We start from the raw sequence: 12,627 nt of genomic DNA, 5'->3' as shown, positions 1-12,627 counted from the left end.
GAATTCTGGTGACTAGTCTATATTTTATGCAAGGAGGAATACTGAATACAATAAGCTGTAAAAGGCTTCCAGGAATATAGAGTGAGGAAGAAGGAATAACATTCCTGACCTTGAATGTCATCATCTAAATTGATTAATTTTTAAGCTACCCCCATAAAATAAAACTAATAGAAGAACAGAATTATCTGTTTCTCATCAAGATTCAATTCAGTAGGCATTTGCTGAATATCTTTGCAATGTGTTCTGGGTGCGTTCAAAGAAGTAAAATGTACAGCTGGTAACTTTGGAGATGCTCTGTTTTTTCAACAGTGTGAATTAAGATGTCTTTTTTTTTTTTTTTTTTTTTTTGATTTGGCATAACCCAAGAAGGCTTTTTAAAGGAAACACTAATTTCTAGTGTTTACTTGCCTTAGAACTTTGAATCAAGAAGCAGAGAAAGGCAGTTAGGGAGGTGTGAAATGTTTTAACTGACCAAGAATTTCCTTTCTCTTTGAATGCTCTCTTTCCATTTTGCCATTTCACATTTTAAAATTTTTTATAAATACTATCAAAGGTTTATGCTGGATTCCAAAGAAGTTAATAGAAACTTTGAATACATAAATGGAATTCCCAGCATAGTTGAACGGAATGTATACTATTGTGAGTAAATGCTTTATAATTTTTTCCTTTTACTTATTCTCATTGCCATTATATGAATTCAATTGTATGACATTTTATAAATTCACCATTTATGTGATTTTTTTGGCAGGGATTTTTAAAAAGATAGGCAGCAGCTTTTTATAAGTTGCAAAAACCATTCTTAGATGCCACATTTAACCAGGAACACTTAAAAAATAAAAAGCATTTTAAAAATATCCATTTTTAATATTTTAGATGAGATTTATTTTTAGTTAATGTATTTTTAGTTAACTCAGCAATATTGTTTATTTGGAATCCTGTTACTTAAATGTACAAGCTTTCGCCCTGAGATGAGCTTTATGGATTTTCTCAGGATTGACTTGGAAGATATATAATAAGTATTAAGGGAAAGTTTCAGTAACGTTCTTAGTTAAGGATATCAATGAACAGTGGTAATAATGTTTGGTCCAATTTATGCCTTGATTGATTTAAATTCCTGATAACTAAAATGAGAAGGGAAACTTGGCTTAATTAGGAGGTATACTGTATTTTTTTAATGATCATAGATTTCACTATTGGAAGGGAACAAAAACGATAATTTTCTCCAGCACCCTAAGACCTTGCTCCCTGGGGGCCAGGGCTGTGTCTTTGTCTCTAGAGTTTGCTGAGATTCTGGAATGTGTGCTCAGGAAATAGAGTGAGAGAGGGGAGGCATATCTGCCCCATTTAATTGTGAAGCAATGGAGGACAAAGAAGTTTCCTGAGATTACATAACCATCAACAGTTACAATCCCAGATTTTCTGCATCCTCTTGTGGGACATGACAAGAAATAGATACCTGGTCTCTGCTCCTGATTCCTGACACAGAGTTCCAAAAACCTTTGTAACTGCCTGGATGATAGGAATGCTGGGAACATCTTTTTGTTATAATATTTGGTCTTAGTCCCCAGTTTCTAACACAAGAGCTTCTAAGACCCTTGGAATTTCTGGAGTGATGAATGTCCTTCTCTAATGAAATGACTCGGTATTGGGGGCCCTAGATAGCTTCAGGATGGGGTTTGGGGAATGGAGACCAAGGCATGATCAGAGGGATGGACTTCCTGCCTCCCCAACCTTCAGGGAGGGCAAAGGGGCTGGAGATTGAGTTAATCACCAATGGCTCATGCCCAAATAATAAAGTCTGAATAAAAACCATTAAATTTCTTATTCCTCTGCCCCTCACACCTCATCGTCTTACCACTACCATGCCCATCCCTTTGCCATCCTGAAATTCTTTTCCTTCTGGTTTTTAAGCCTAGCTAAAGTGACCTCTGACAGCACAGGATACTGAAAGAGAAAGATCAGGACTTCTATTTCCTCCTGTAGGCTGTGTCCTGTACTGTCTTGTGGGAAAGAAGTTGGCTTATAGCAGGATGAGTCAGAAATCGGGGACTGTTTCCTAACACTAGGTAGTCCCTATGCCTTCTCCTTGTCAGATGTGGTTTTGTTCACTATTAGGTTGATCCACTTTGAGTGTTCAGGAAATACCTAGTTCCATCAGTCCTAGTTTCCATTCATGGGGATGGGTGACTCCTGAACATTCATTCATAGGATGGTCCTACCTAGGCTCTACACATGTTCATACAGGTGTAAGAGCCAGACCCCAGTAGCAGATGAAAACTCTATGATGTGTATCTCTTATGCACTGGTCTCATGCATGAGTGGAGGTGCTGGCCATTTGGGCTCTACCCATCCACATAAGGATTTCTAGAATCCAAGCCTATCCATCTGAAGGTGCTCATACCATTCTAGAGCCTTCCCGTCTCCCCAAGGCACATTGTTTCCTTAATCACTAGTGGGGCATCTGTCCCTTTGTTCTGCCTGCATATAGTCAGCTTGTCGTAAGAATACTAGAATGGCAGGGATTTCTACCCTATGGGCCTCTTTACATGACTGGCATGCTCCATTTACCACTGTGGTAGTCAAAAAAGCTCTCTGTCTAAAAACGGCCTTAATATGCTAGGTCTTTGCCTGACATTAGCATTCAAGGCCTAACGGGGTTTGTCTTAATGTGTTCTGGCTGCTATGACTATGTACCACAGGCTGCATGGCTTGAACAACAGGATTTATTTTCTCACAGTTCTGAAGGCAAGAGGTCCAAGATTAAGGTGTTGGAAAATTTGGTTTCTGGTGAGGCCTTACTTTCTGGCTTGCAGATGGCTGCCTTCTTCTTGTGTCCTCACATGGAGTCTCTGTTCCCTCCCCTTCAGCCTGCACATGACTTTGCAACTGCCTTGACTAACAAAGTACAGCTGAAGGCAATACAACATCTACCTAGCTCTCTCTCAGGATACTTGGCCTTGGGAACCAGCCATTGTGCTGTGAGAATGCCTAGCTCTGAGCTGTGGCTGAGCTCCCACACAGAGGCAGTGAGTACCGACTTGCCAACTGTGTGTTAGCTAGCCTGGAGGTGGACCTTCCAGCCACTGAATGTCCCTGTGAGGCAGAGATGAGCCTTCCCTGCAGAGCCCTGCCCAGATTGCAATTAACAGGCAACATAAATGACCATTGTTGTTTAAATCACCAAGTTTTGGGGTGGTTTACTAAGCAATAATAGGCACCAGGAACAATTGGGGATAAGTCTTTTCTCTTGTTGCTTCCTTGTAATATAATTTTTAACTCCTCAGAACATAAAAGAGATTTCTCCAGACTTTTGTTAAGCTTTTAGAAATATAACTGGTTCAAAAGGAATGACTGAATATATGCATCTACATCTTTTTTATTCCAATATCCTGATGAAATTATAAAAGAGATTTCATATTTTAAAAATCCAGCAAACTAAAGCTGACACTGTATAAAATGAAATACATACCATGATCAACAGGGGTTTATCCCACATGCATAAGGCTGGCTCAACATTCAAAAATCAATTAAGGTAGTCCATCACATCAACTGGCTAAAAAAGAAAATCATATGATCTTATCAATATACACAGAAAAGACATTTGACAAAATCCACTGCCTGTTTATGATAAAAACACTCAGCCTACTAAGAATAGAGGGGAGCTTCCTAAACCTGCTAAATAATATATCTGTTTAAAGCCCTACAGTTAATACCATGCTTAATAGTGAGAAATTAGAAGCTTTCTGGCTAAGATTAGCAACAAGACAAGGGTGATCCCTCTTGCCACTCTTTTTCAACATCATACTAGCAGTCCTAGCTAGTGCAGTTGGACAAAAAAAGGAAATAAAATGTACACTGATTGGGAAGAAAGAAATAAAACTGTCTTTGTTCATAGATGACACAATCATCTACATAGACAATTCAGAAGAATCTCCAAAAACCTCCTGGCCCTTATAAGTAATTATGGCAAGGTTGAAGGATGTAAGGTTAATTTACAAAAATCTACGTCTTTCATAAAAATGAACAATAAACAAATAAATTACAAACACAATACCATTTACATTAGCACCCCTAAAGTTATATACTTAGGTATAAATCTAACAAAATATGTGCTTGATACACATAAGAAAATCTATGAAACTGTGATAATAGAAATCAAAGATGAACTAAGTAAAATGGAGAGATATTTTATGTTCATGGGTGGGAAGACAATATTGTCAAGATATCAGTTCTTCCCAACTTGATCTCATTTTGGGGTGGTTTATTAAGCACTATATAATAGGGACTCAATAGGGATTCAATGCAATCTCAATCAAAATTCCAGCAAGTTATTTTGTGGATATTGACAAACTGATTATTGAATTTATATGGAGAGATGAAAGACCTAGAATAGCCAAATCAATATTGAAACAGAAAAACAGGGTTGTGGACTGACACTACTCGACTTCAAGACTTGCTATAAAGCTTCAGTAATCAAGATGGTATGATATTAGCAAAAGAATGGACAAATAGATCAGTGGAACAGAATAGAGAGCCCAGGAATAGAACCACGTAACAATTGACCTTTGAAAAAGAAGCAAAGAAAACTCAGTGGAGAAAAGTCAGTCTTTTCCTCAAATGTGCTGAAACAACCGGCCATCCACACGCAAACAAAACAAAACAAAACAAAATAAAAAACTGAATCTAGACACAGAGATTACATCTTTCACAAAAGTTAACTCAAATGGATCATAGACCTTCATGTTAAGTGCAAAATTATAAAATTCCCAGAAGATAACATAAGAGAAAATCTAGATATCCTTGGATATGGTGATTGTTTTTAAAATACAGTAACAAAGATAAAATTGATAAGCAAAGCTTCATTAAAATTAAAAATTGCTCTATGAAAGGACTCTCAAGAGAATGTAAAGACAAGTCACAGACTGGGAGAAAATATTTGCAAAACACACATCTGACAAAGGATTGTTATCTAAAATATGCAAAGAACTCTTAAAACTCAACAATAAGGAAAGGAATAACTCAATTTAAAAAATGGGCAAAAGACCTGAATAAATATCTCACCAAATAAAGTATATAGATGGCAAATAAGCACATGAAAAGATGCTCAACATCGTATGTCATTAGAGAATTGTAAATTAAAATGACACTAAGATAAAACTACACATCTATTAGAACGGCCAAAATCCAGAACACCTGATGCTGACAAAGATGTGGAACAGTAGGAATTTTCATTCATTGATGGTGGGGATGCAAAATGGTCCAGACACTTTGGAAGATAGTTCGGCAGTTTCTTACAAAACTAAACATACTCTTACCACATAATACAGCAATCACACACCTTACTATTTACCCAAATGTGTTAAAAACTTGTCCACAAAAAAACTTGCACAAAGATGTTTGTAATGGCATGATTACTAATTTCCCACACTTGGAAGCGACCAAGACATCCTTCAGTGGGTGAATGACTAAGCAAACTCTGGTAGATCCAGACAATGGAATATTATTCAGTGATAAAAAGAAATAATCTATCATGCCAAGAAAAGATATGGAGGAACCTTAAATGCATATTAGTAAGTGAAAGAAACCAATCTGAAAAGGCCATATACAGTATGATTCCAACAACGTGACCTTTGGAAAAGGCAAAACTATGAAGACAGTAAAAAGATCAGTGGCTGTCAGGGGTTGCAAGGAGAGAGGGATGAATAGGCAGAGCACAGAGGGCAGTGGAACTAACCTGTATGATACTATTATATAACGGTAATTACATGCCATTATACATTTGTCCATACCCATACGATGTACAACACTTGTTAAGCCCTAATATAAACTGTGGAGTTTGGGTAATAATAATGTGTCAGTGTAGGTTCATTGATTATAACAAATGTACTACTTTGGTGGGAGATGTCGATAGTGGAGAAGGTTGTGGGTGTGTGACAGAAGGGGGATATGGGAACTCTCTGTATTTTCTGTTCAATTTTGCTATAAATCTAAAACTGCTATAAAACATAAAGTCTATTTTAAAATACATATAATCTTTATATAATTAAATATATATAATGTTTAATGTCCATAAAAGCACTAGAAAGCCAAGAGAGGTAGAACTAGCTTAGAAAAGAGAGGACTTTCAGGAAGACAAAAAGAATTGATTATGGTGAAATCCAGTAGTGTGAAAAAAAAAATCAAGATAACAGAAATAATGGTTTCTATATTTTAGTTTCTTATTTTTTCAGCAATAACTATAAAAGGAAATATCAGGAAAAATAGATTCCCACTCACAATTGCAACATAAATTATAAAACCTTGGTTGAAATGTAATAAGAAAAACATTAGAGCTAAGTGACAAAACTTTAAAACTTTAAGTCTTAAATAAATTGGTAGGAAATAATTCTGTACATATTAATATAAAATGTAAGTATTTTATATGAATCTGTAAATATAATATTAGTCCCACTGCAAAGAAAAAATCCTAGTGGAAAGAATTTGATAAGATAATTCTGATATTTTCTAGGAAGAGAAAATGTGTTAAGAATAGAACATAGCTGGGCATGGTGGATTACGCCTGTAATCCCAGCACTTTGGAAGGCTGAGACAGGTGGATCACTTGAGGTCAGGAGTTTGAAACCAGCCTGGCCAACATGGTGAAACCCCGTCTCTACTAAAAATACAAAAAAATTAGCTGGGTGTGGTGGCATGTGCCTGTAATCACAGCTACTTGGGAGGCTGAGATAGGAGAACTACTTGAACCTGGGAGGTGGAAGTTGCAGTGATCCGAGATCACACCACTGCAATCCAGCCTGGGTGACAGAGCAAGACTTCGTCTCAAAAAAAAAAAAAAAAAGAATAGAACATAAATTTTAAAAATGAAGAATCATAAAGTGGAAATGATTAAGCTATTATACTGAAAAAGCTTGACACTGAAAGGTTTGAAAATTAAGGCAGTTAAACAAATGAGCTTCTAGTAAAATATCTATATGTAAATTCCAATTCAAGATACAAGAAAGACAAAATATCAAATTAGTGGGGGGAGGATGGACTAATCAACAGATAGCTTTGAGATCATTGATCAATGACTGTCCAGTTGAGAAAAAACATTTTATTACATTTTACATAAAAATACATACACAGGGGTGAGTAGTGGCTTACACCTATAATACAACACTTCGGGAGGCCAAGAGGCAGGAGGATCGCTTGAGGTCAGGAGTTTGAGACAAGCCTGGGCAAAACAGTGGCAAAAAAATCTCTACAAAAAATAAATAAATAAATAAATAAAAATCAGCCGGGCATGGTGGCACATGCCAGTAGTCCCAGCTACTCGGGAGGCTGAGGTGGGAGGGTTCCCCGCTTGAGCACAGAAGTTGTAGGCTGTGGTGAGCTAGGATCACACCTCTAAAGCCTGGGGCAGAGTGGGGCCCCATCTCTTCAAACAAACAAACAAACCATATACAGAAGAAAATAGAAGGACAGTGTTATCATCTTGCTGTGGGGAATATCTTTCTAAGTAAGTTCCTAGAAACAAAGCAAAATGAAAAGCAACTTAATGGGAGGATGTATTTGTAACATATAAAATGACACGGTGTTGATATCTATCATATACAAAAAGCTTCAACAAATCTACATGATAAACAACCGCACAGAAAATGCACAAAATATATGACAAGACAATTCAGAGAAAAGGAAATAGAAATGGTTAAGCATTTGAAGAGATGCACAACTTCACTAATCATCAAGAACACGCAAATTAAAACAAGATACCACTTTTTAAACATCTGGTTTTAAACGATTCCGAGTTGAATATTCAGTGCTGGGAATGGTCTGTGGAATCAGGCACTTTCCTACACTGTAAGTGGAAATGTAAACTGTGATCACCTTTGTCCAAGGCAGCTTGGCAGCATATATCCTGACACACCCCTGGGTCCTGTACCTGGCATAGATTACATATGGGATAATTATTTGTTCACTTAGTGCAGGATTAGTTTCACAAACGGAAAGAGCATGGACTTTGCTATGAGACAGAGAGGGCTTTCATTCCTGGCTTTGCCATTTATTTACTAAATAACCTCTAAGCAATTGACTGTAACTTCCCTGTGTTCCAACTTCTTATCTAAAAAAAAATGGAGATAACTTCCTACCTTGTAGGCTGTGAGGAATACTGAAACAATACATGAAGTGTTTCATCTAGGCTACCAACTTATAAGTGCTCAATGAAGAAAAGACTTTATTCTCCCCATATGATTTTCCTGACAACCCAAGAGAAATCCATTTCCTCAGAAAACTTTATCAGCTTCTTTTTACGTTCTCCTTCCTCCTCATCCAACCTTCTCAGAATTGCCCTTAGGCTCTTGTCTTTTGCCAACACAGTTTATTAGACTCTTGCTACTGAGGATGATGTTCATTACTACATCAGTCCTTTAATAGACTTGACTGCTGTGGGTTGAATTGAGTTCCCCAAAAAGGTGTTTAGGTCCTAACCTCTGGTATGTACTAATGTGACCTTATTTGGAAAAAGGGTCTTTACAGATGTGATCAAGCGAAGATGAAGTCAGAGTGGCGTAGGGTGGCCCTGACCCAACTCAACTGTTGTCCCTATTAAAAGAGGGAAATTTTTAACACAGACACACACAGGGAGAACATCACGTAACTACAGAGGCAAAGAAGGAAGCAACGTGTCTATAAGCCAAGGAAGGCCAAGGAATGCTGGCAACCACCAGAAGCTAGGAAGAGGCAGACACGATCCTTCCCTAGAGCCTGCAGAGCGGATGTGGGCCTGTTGACACCTTAATTTCAGATTTCTAGCCTCCAGAGTGTGAGAGAATAAATTTGTTTGAAGTCATCAAGTTTGTAGTATTTTGTTATAGCAGTCCTAGGAGACTAATACACTCCTGCACAAAAGGTCAATTGACTAATTCTCAGTTTGGTAATAACCAGTGGAACAGATGGAGATGACACAAGGTTTTGGGTAAGTATGGATAAATCCCCTAAAATATAAACTTGGTTTTTCCACATTAAGCTAGGGTTAGAAAAGGGAAGAATGATTATCAGTCTTTGTGTGTGTGTGTGTGTGTGTGTGTGTGTGTGTGTGTGTGCTGCTATAACAGAATACCACAGACTAGGAAATGTTAAAGAACAGAAACTTATTTCTCATAGTTCTGGACACTGGGAAGTCCAAGATTAAGGTGCCAGCATATTTAGTCTCTGGTTCCAAGATGGTGCATCATTGCTGCATTCTCCAGCAAGGGGGAACACTGTGTCCTCACATGGCAGAAGAGTAGAAGAGAGAGCGAGAGAGAGAAAGCCCACTTCCACAAGCCCTTTTCATAGCAGCATTAATCCATTCATGAGGGCAAAGCCCTCATGACTTACAGACATCCCGTTAGTCCACACCTCCCAATTCTGTTGCATGAATTTTGGAGGCATCACTTTCAAACCATAGCAATGTTTAAGGGTCAGATGGGTAAAAAAAAAAAAAAAAAAAAAAAAATTCTAAGGAACAAAACATAAGCTTGTTCTCTCAGTCCACTTGGAATAAGGAAGGAAAATTAAGGGTGTGGTTTTCCAAGCATTAAGCTCCAAAGGCCCCAAATTTCCCTGGCAGGGTGCCAGATGATTGTATGTTCTTAGTGGCCATTAAAGTTCTTCTACTGTGGCTCCAGGCTCCTTTCTTCTTCACTACTTAGTGGTCTAGAGAGATGTAGCAATAAAAATAAATTGATCAAAATTAGTTTAGATGAGTTGGCTAAAACAAAAAATGTATTGAGTTGCAAGGAACAGAAAATCCAGTTAAGGTGATTTAAAAAATAAGGAATGTACTGTCTCACATAGAAATCTAAAGGTAAGAAGTTTCAGGGTTGGTTACTATCGCAGCTCAATTATGTCAGGATTCTGAGTTGCTTTTGTACAATTTTTGACTTTCCCTTCATAGTCATAGGATATTCGGTATAACTCCAGGCATCATACCTACAGAACAACCCCCACAACCAGAAAGCGAAGTTTGTCTTTGCCCATCTCTTTTCAGGAAGGAAAGCCCTTTCTAGCCCAGCATACTCGGTTGTGATGAACTCTGAGCTATCAGAGATAATGGACAATGCATGCCCATGGCATGGTACACACTTTCTTGTTTTTTTTTTTTTTTGTTTTCTTTTTTTTTTTTTGAGACAGAGTTTCACTCTTGTTGCCCAGGCTGGAGGGCAATAGCACGATCTCGGCTCACTGCAACCTCTGCCTCCCGGGTTCAAGCCATTCTCCTGCCTCAGCCTCCCGAGTAGCTGGGGTTACAGGCATGCGCCACCACACCTGGCTAATTTTGTATTTTTAGTAGAGATGGGGTTTTTCCATGTTGGTCAAGGTGGTCTCGAACTCCCAACCTCAGGTGATCCACCCGCCTCAGCCTCCCAAAGTGCTGGGATTACAGGCATGAGCCACCGCGCCTGGCCTAGGAACATAACTTTCATTGTGACCATGTGACTATGCACGTTTGATGCCTGGCTTTATTGTATAATGCACCAACATGGCATTAGTTGCTCAGTCAAAATTTGTACATGGAATCTGGATATAAATCTAGGTGATGTTCTTGTGGGAGGTAGTTTTAGAAACCATACATAGTAATTACGTTGCTTTTCCAAGTCGATATATTTAATAGTCTTCACAAATAGCTCCCCCAATGAGCTGTGCCTCCTATGATTCACCCCTTGAATCTGGGCTGGCCTTGTGACTTGCTTTTGACTAATAGAATGTGACAGAAGACACACTGCATGACTGCTGAGTCCAGACCATCCAAAGCCTTGCAGCTTCCTCCTAGGACTGTTGTAATGTTTACTTTTGTGAAGTGAACTACCACGTGTAAGTCCCACCACTCAGACTCCCACACTGTGAGAAAGCCCAGGCCAGCCACACGGAGAGGGCTTCGTGGAGAGAAAGAAATGCTCAGCCAGGCCCTCGCATTCTCGTCATCTTAACCCAGGCAAGAGACATGTGCATGACGAAGCCATTTTGAACTTCTAACCCAATCAAACCTTCAGAGGATCCCAGCTCCAGATGCCATCTGACTGCAACCGGAATCACAATCCCAAGTAACAACTTCCGATCTGAGCTCAGCCAACACATAGAACCACAAGAGATAATAACATTTTTTTTTCTTTAATTAAACCATCAAATTTGGGGCCTCCAAAAAGGGAATGTGATGGACAGGTCCTACGGTCAATAATTTTCACCTCTTGTTGTTTATGTCTTCTTAACATTCCCCTCCCCTTGAGTGAGGGTGGGACTTATGTTATACAAGGCTCTGTCTTAGCATACTGGACTGGGAGATTCTTTTTGCTGGCTTCATGCAGTAAGTAGCCATGTTGAGAAAGCCCACATTGTAAGGAGCCACAGGTGGTCTCTAGGACCCAAGACTGGCCTCTTCTGATGGCTAGCAAAAAGCCAGGGTCCTCAGTCATACATCCACAATGGAGTGAATTCTACCACCAACCTAATGAACTTGGAAGTAGGCTCTTCCCCTGTCAAGCCTCCAGATGAGAATATAGCTCATCTGACACCTTGACTGCAGTCACATGAGACCCTGAGCAGAGGACCTAGCTGAGTCATGCCCAGGCTCCTGCCCCACAGAAACTAAGATAATAAATGTGTATTACTTAAGGCTGCTATGTTTGTAGTAATTTGTTACGCAGCATAGAAAACAAATGCAAGAGGTGAGTGTATTTTGCATAAGGAAGAGCTATGAATTGAAGTGGCCCAAGGATGGCCTGAGATAGTTTTCAAAGAGGGCCACAATCAATTCCTTTCCTCTCTGCATATTTGTGCTGCTCCTTAGATTGAGATGTGGAATCTAATTCCTTCCTGTTGAGTTGGACTGGTCTTGTGTCTTACTTTGTCTAGTAGAATGTGAGAAGAAGTGATGTTCTGAGACTTCAAGGCTAAGTCATAAGGAGTCTTGCAGTTTTTTCCTCAGTCTTTTAGAACCCTATACTTGGTAGTACTGACTCACCATGTAAGCTGTCTCCCACACTGAAGGGACCATGTGGAGAGGCCATAGAGAGGCCAGGGAGAGAGAGGCCTGGCCACTTAGATTCTATCTGAGCCCTGCTTTCCAGACTTCCCTGTCAAGGCACGAGACTGTGAGGGAAGAGTTAATGAACTCTCCAGCCACCATCTGAATACCACTGAGTAACTCCAGTTAATGTCACAAGGAGCAGAATAACTGCCCAGCAGAGCCCCGTCCTAATTACCCATAGAACGATGGGCTGCCATCAGGCAGGATCTGGATGGATCTCATACAGGAAAGGCTGAATGCCTTCAACACTAACCTGAGGATATCACCTATAGGAGGTGGGCAGGAGGGACTCAATGGCAGAATAATTCCACTTATTTCATCTCAGGGGCTAGGGTTGCATAACATGGCTATGCCTAAGTCCTTCTTTGACAAGGGGAATGGAACTAACATGATGGCTTTAGACGAATCAGGATTAACTCCCTGGCGTTTTCACTGAACACTTTACTTGGCTGAATGCTCCTTCTGTTGGGAGCCAAGCCATAGTATCTGTCATGATGATTTGAAGCCATGGTAATTTTGCCAGGATCCCAGCTGATACTGATTTTGCCACAACTATCTCCACTGCTCACTGGCTGCTG

The 12,627-nt window shown here is 39.3% G+C and overlaps 1 long non-coding RNA gene across 1 annotated transcript in view; it reads right to left on the bottom strand.

Moving 5' to 3' along the window:
• GMDS-DT (GMDS divergent transcript) overlaps positions 1-12,627 on the bottom strand; it is a 167,839-nt gene that overhangs the window by 146,438 nt on the left and 8,774 nt on the right. The window contains exon 3 of the long non-coding RNA NR_046229.1: positions 3,470-3,553. This is a non-coding gene — a long non-coding RNA (GMDS divergent transcript). The remainder of the gene's footprint in view (positions 1-3,469; positions 3,554-12,627) is intronic.

This window comes from Homo sapiens, chromosome 6 (genome assembly GCF_000001405.40).
Source record: "Homo sapiens chromosome 6, GRCh38.p14 Primary Assembly".
NCBI lineage: Eukaryota > Metazoa > Chordata > Mammalia > Primates > Hominidae > Homo > Homo sapiens.
The sequence above is the reverse complement of the archived record's forward strand: the minus strand, read 5'-3'. Positions and strand labels throughout refer to the sequence as shown.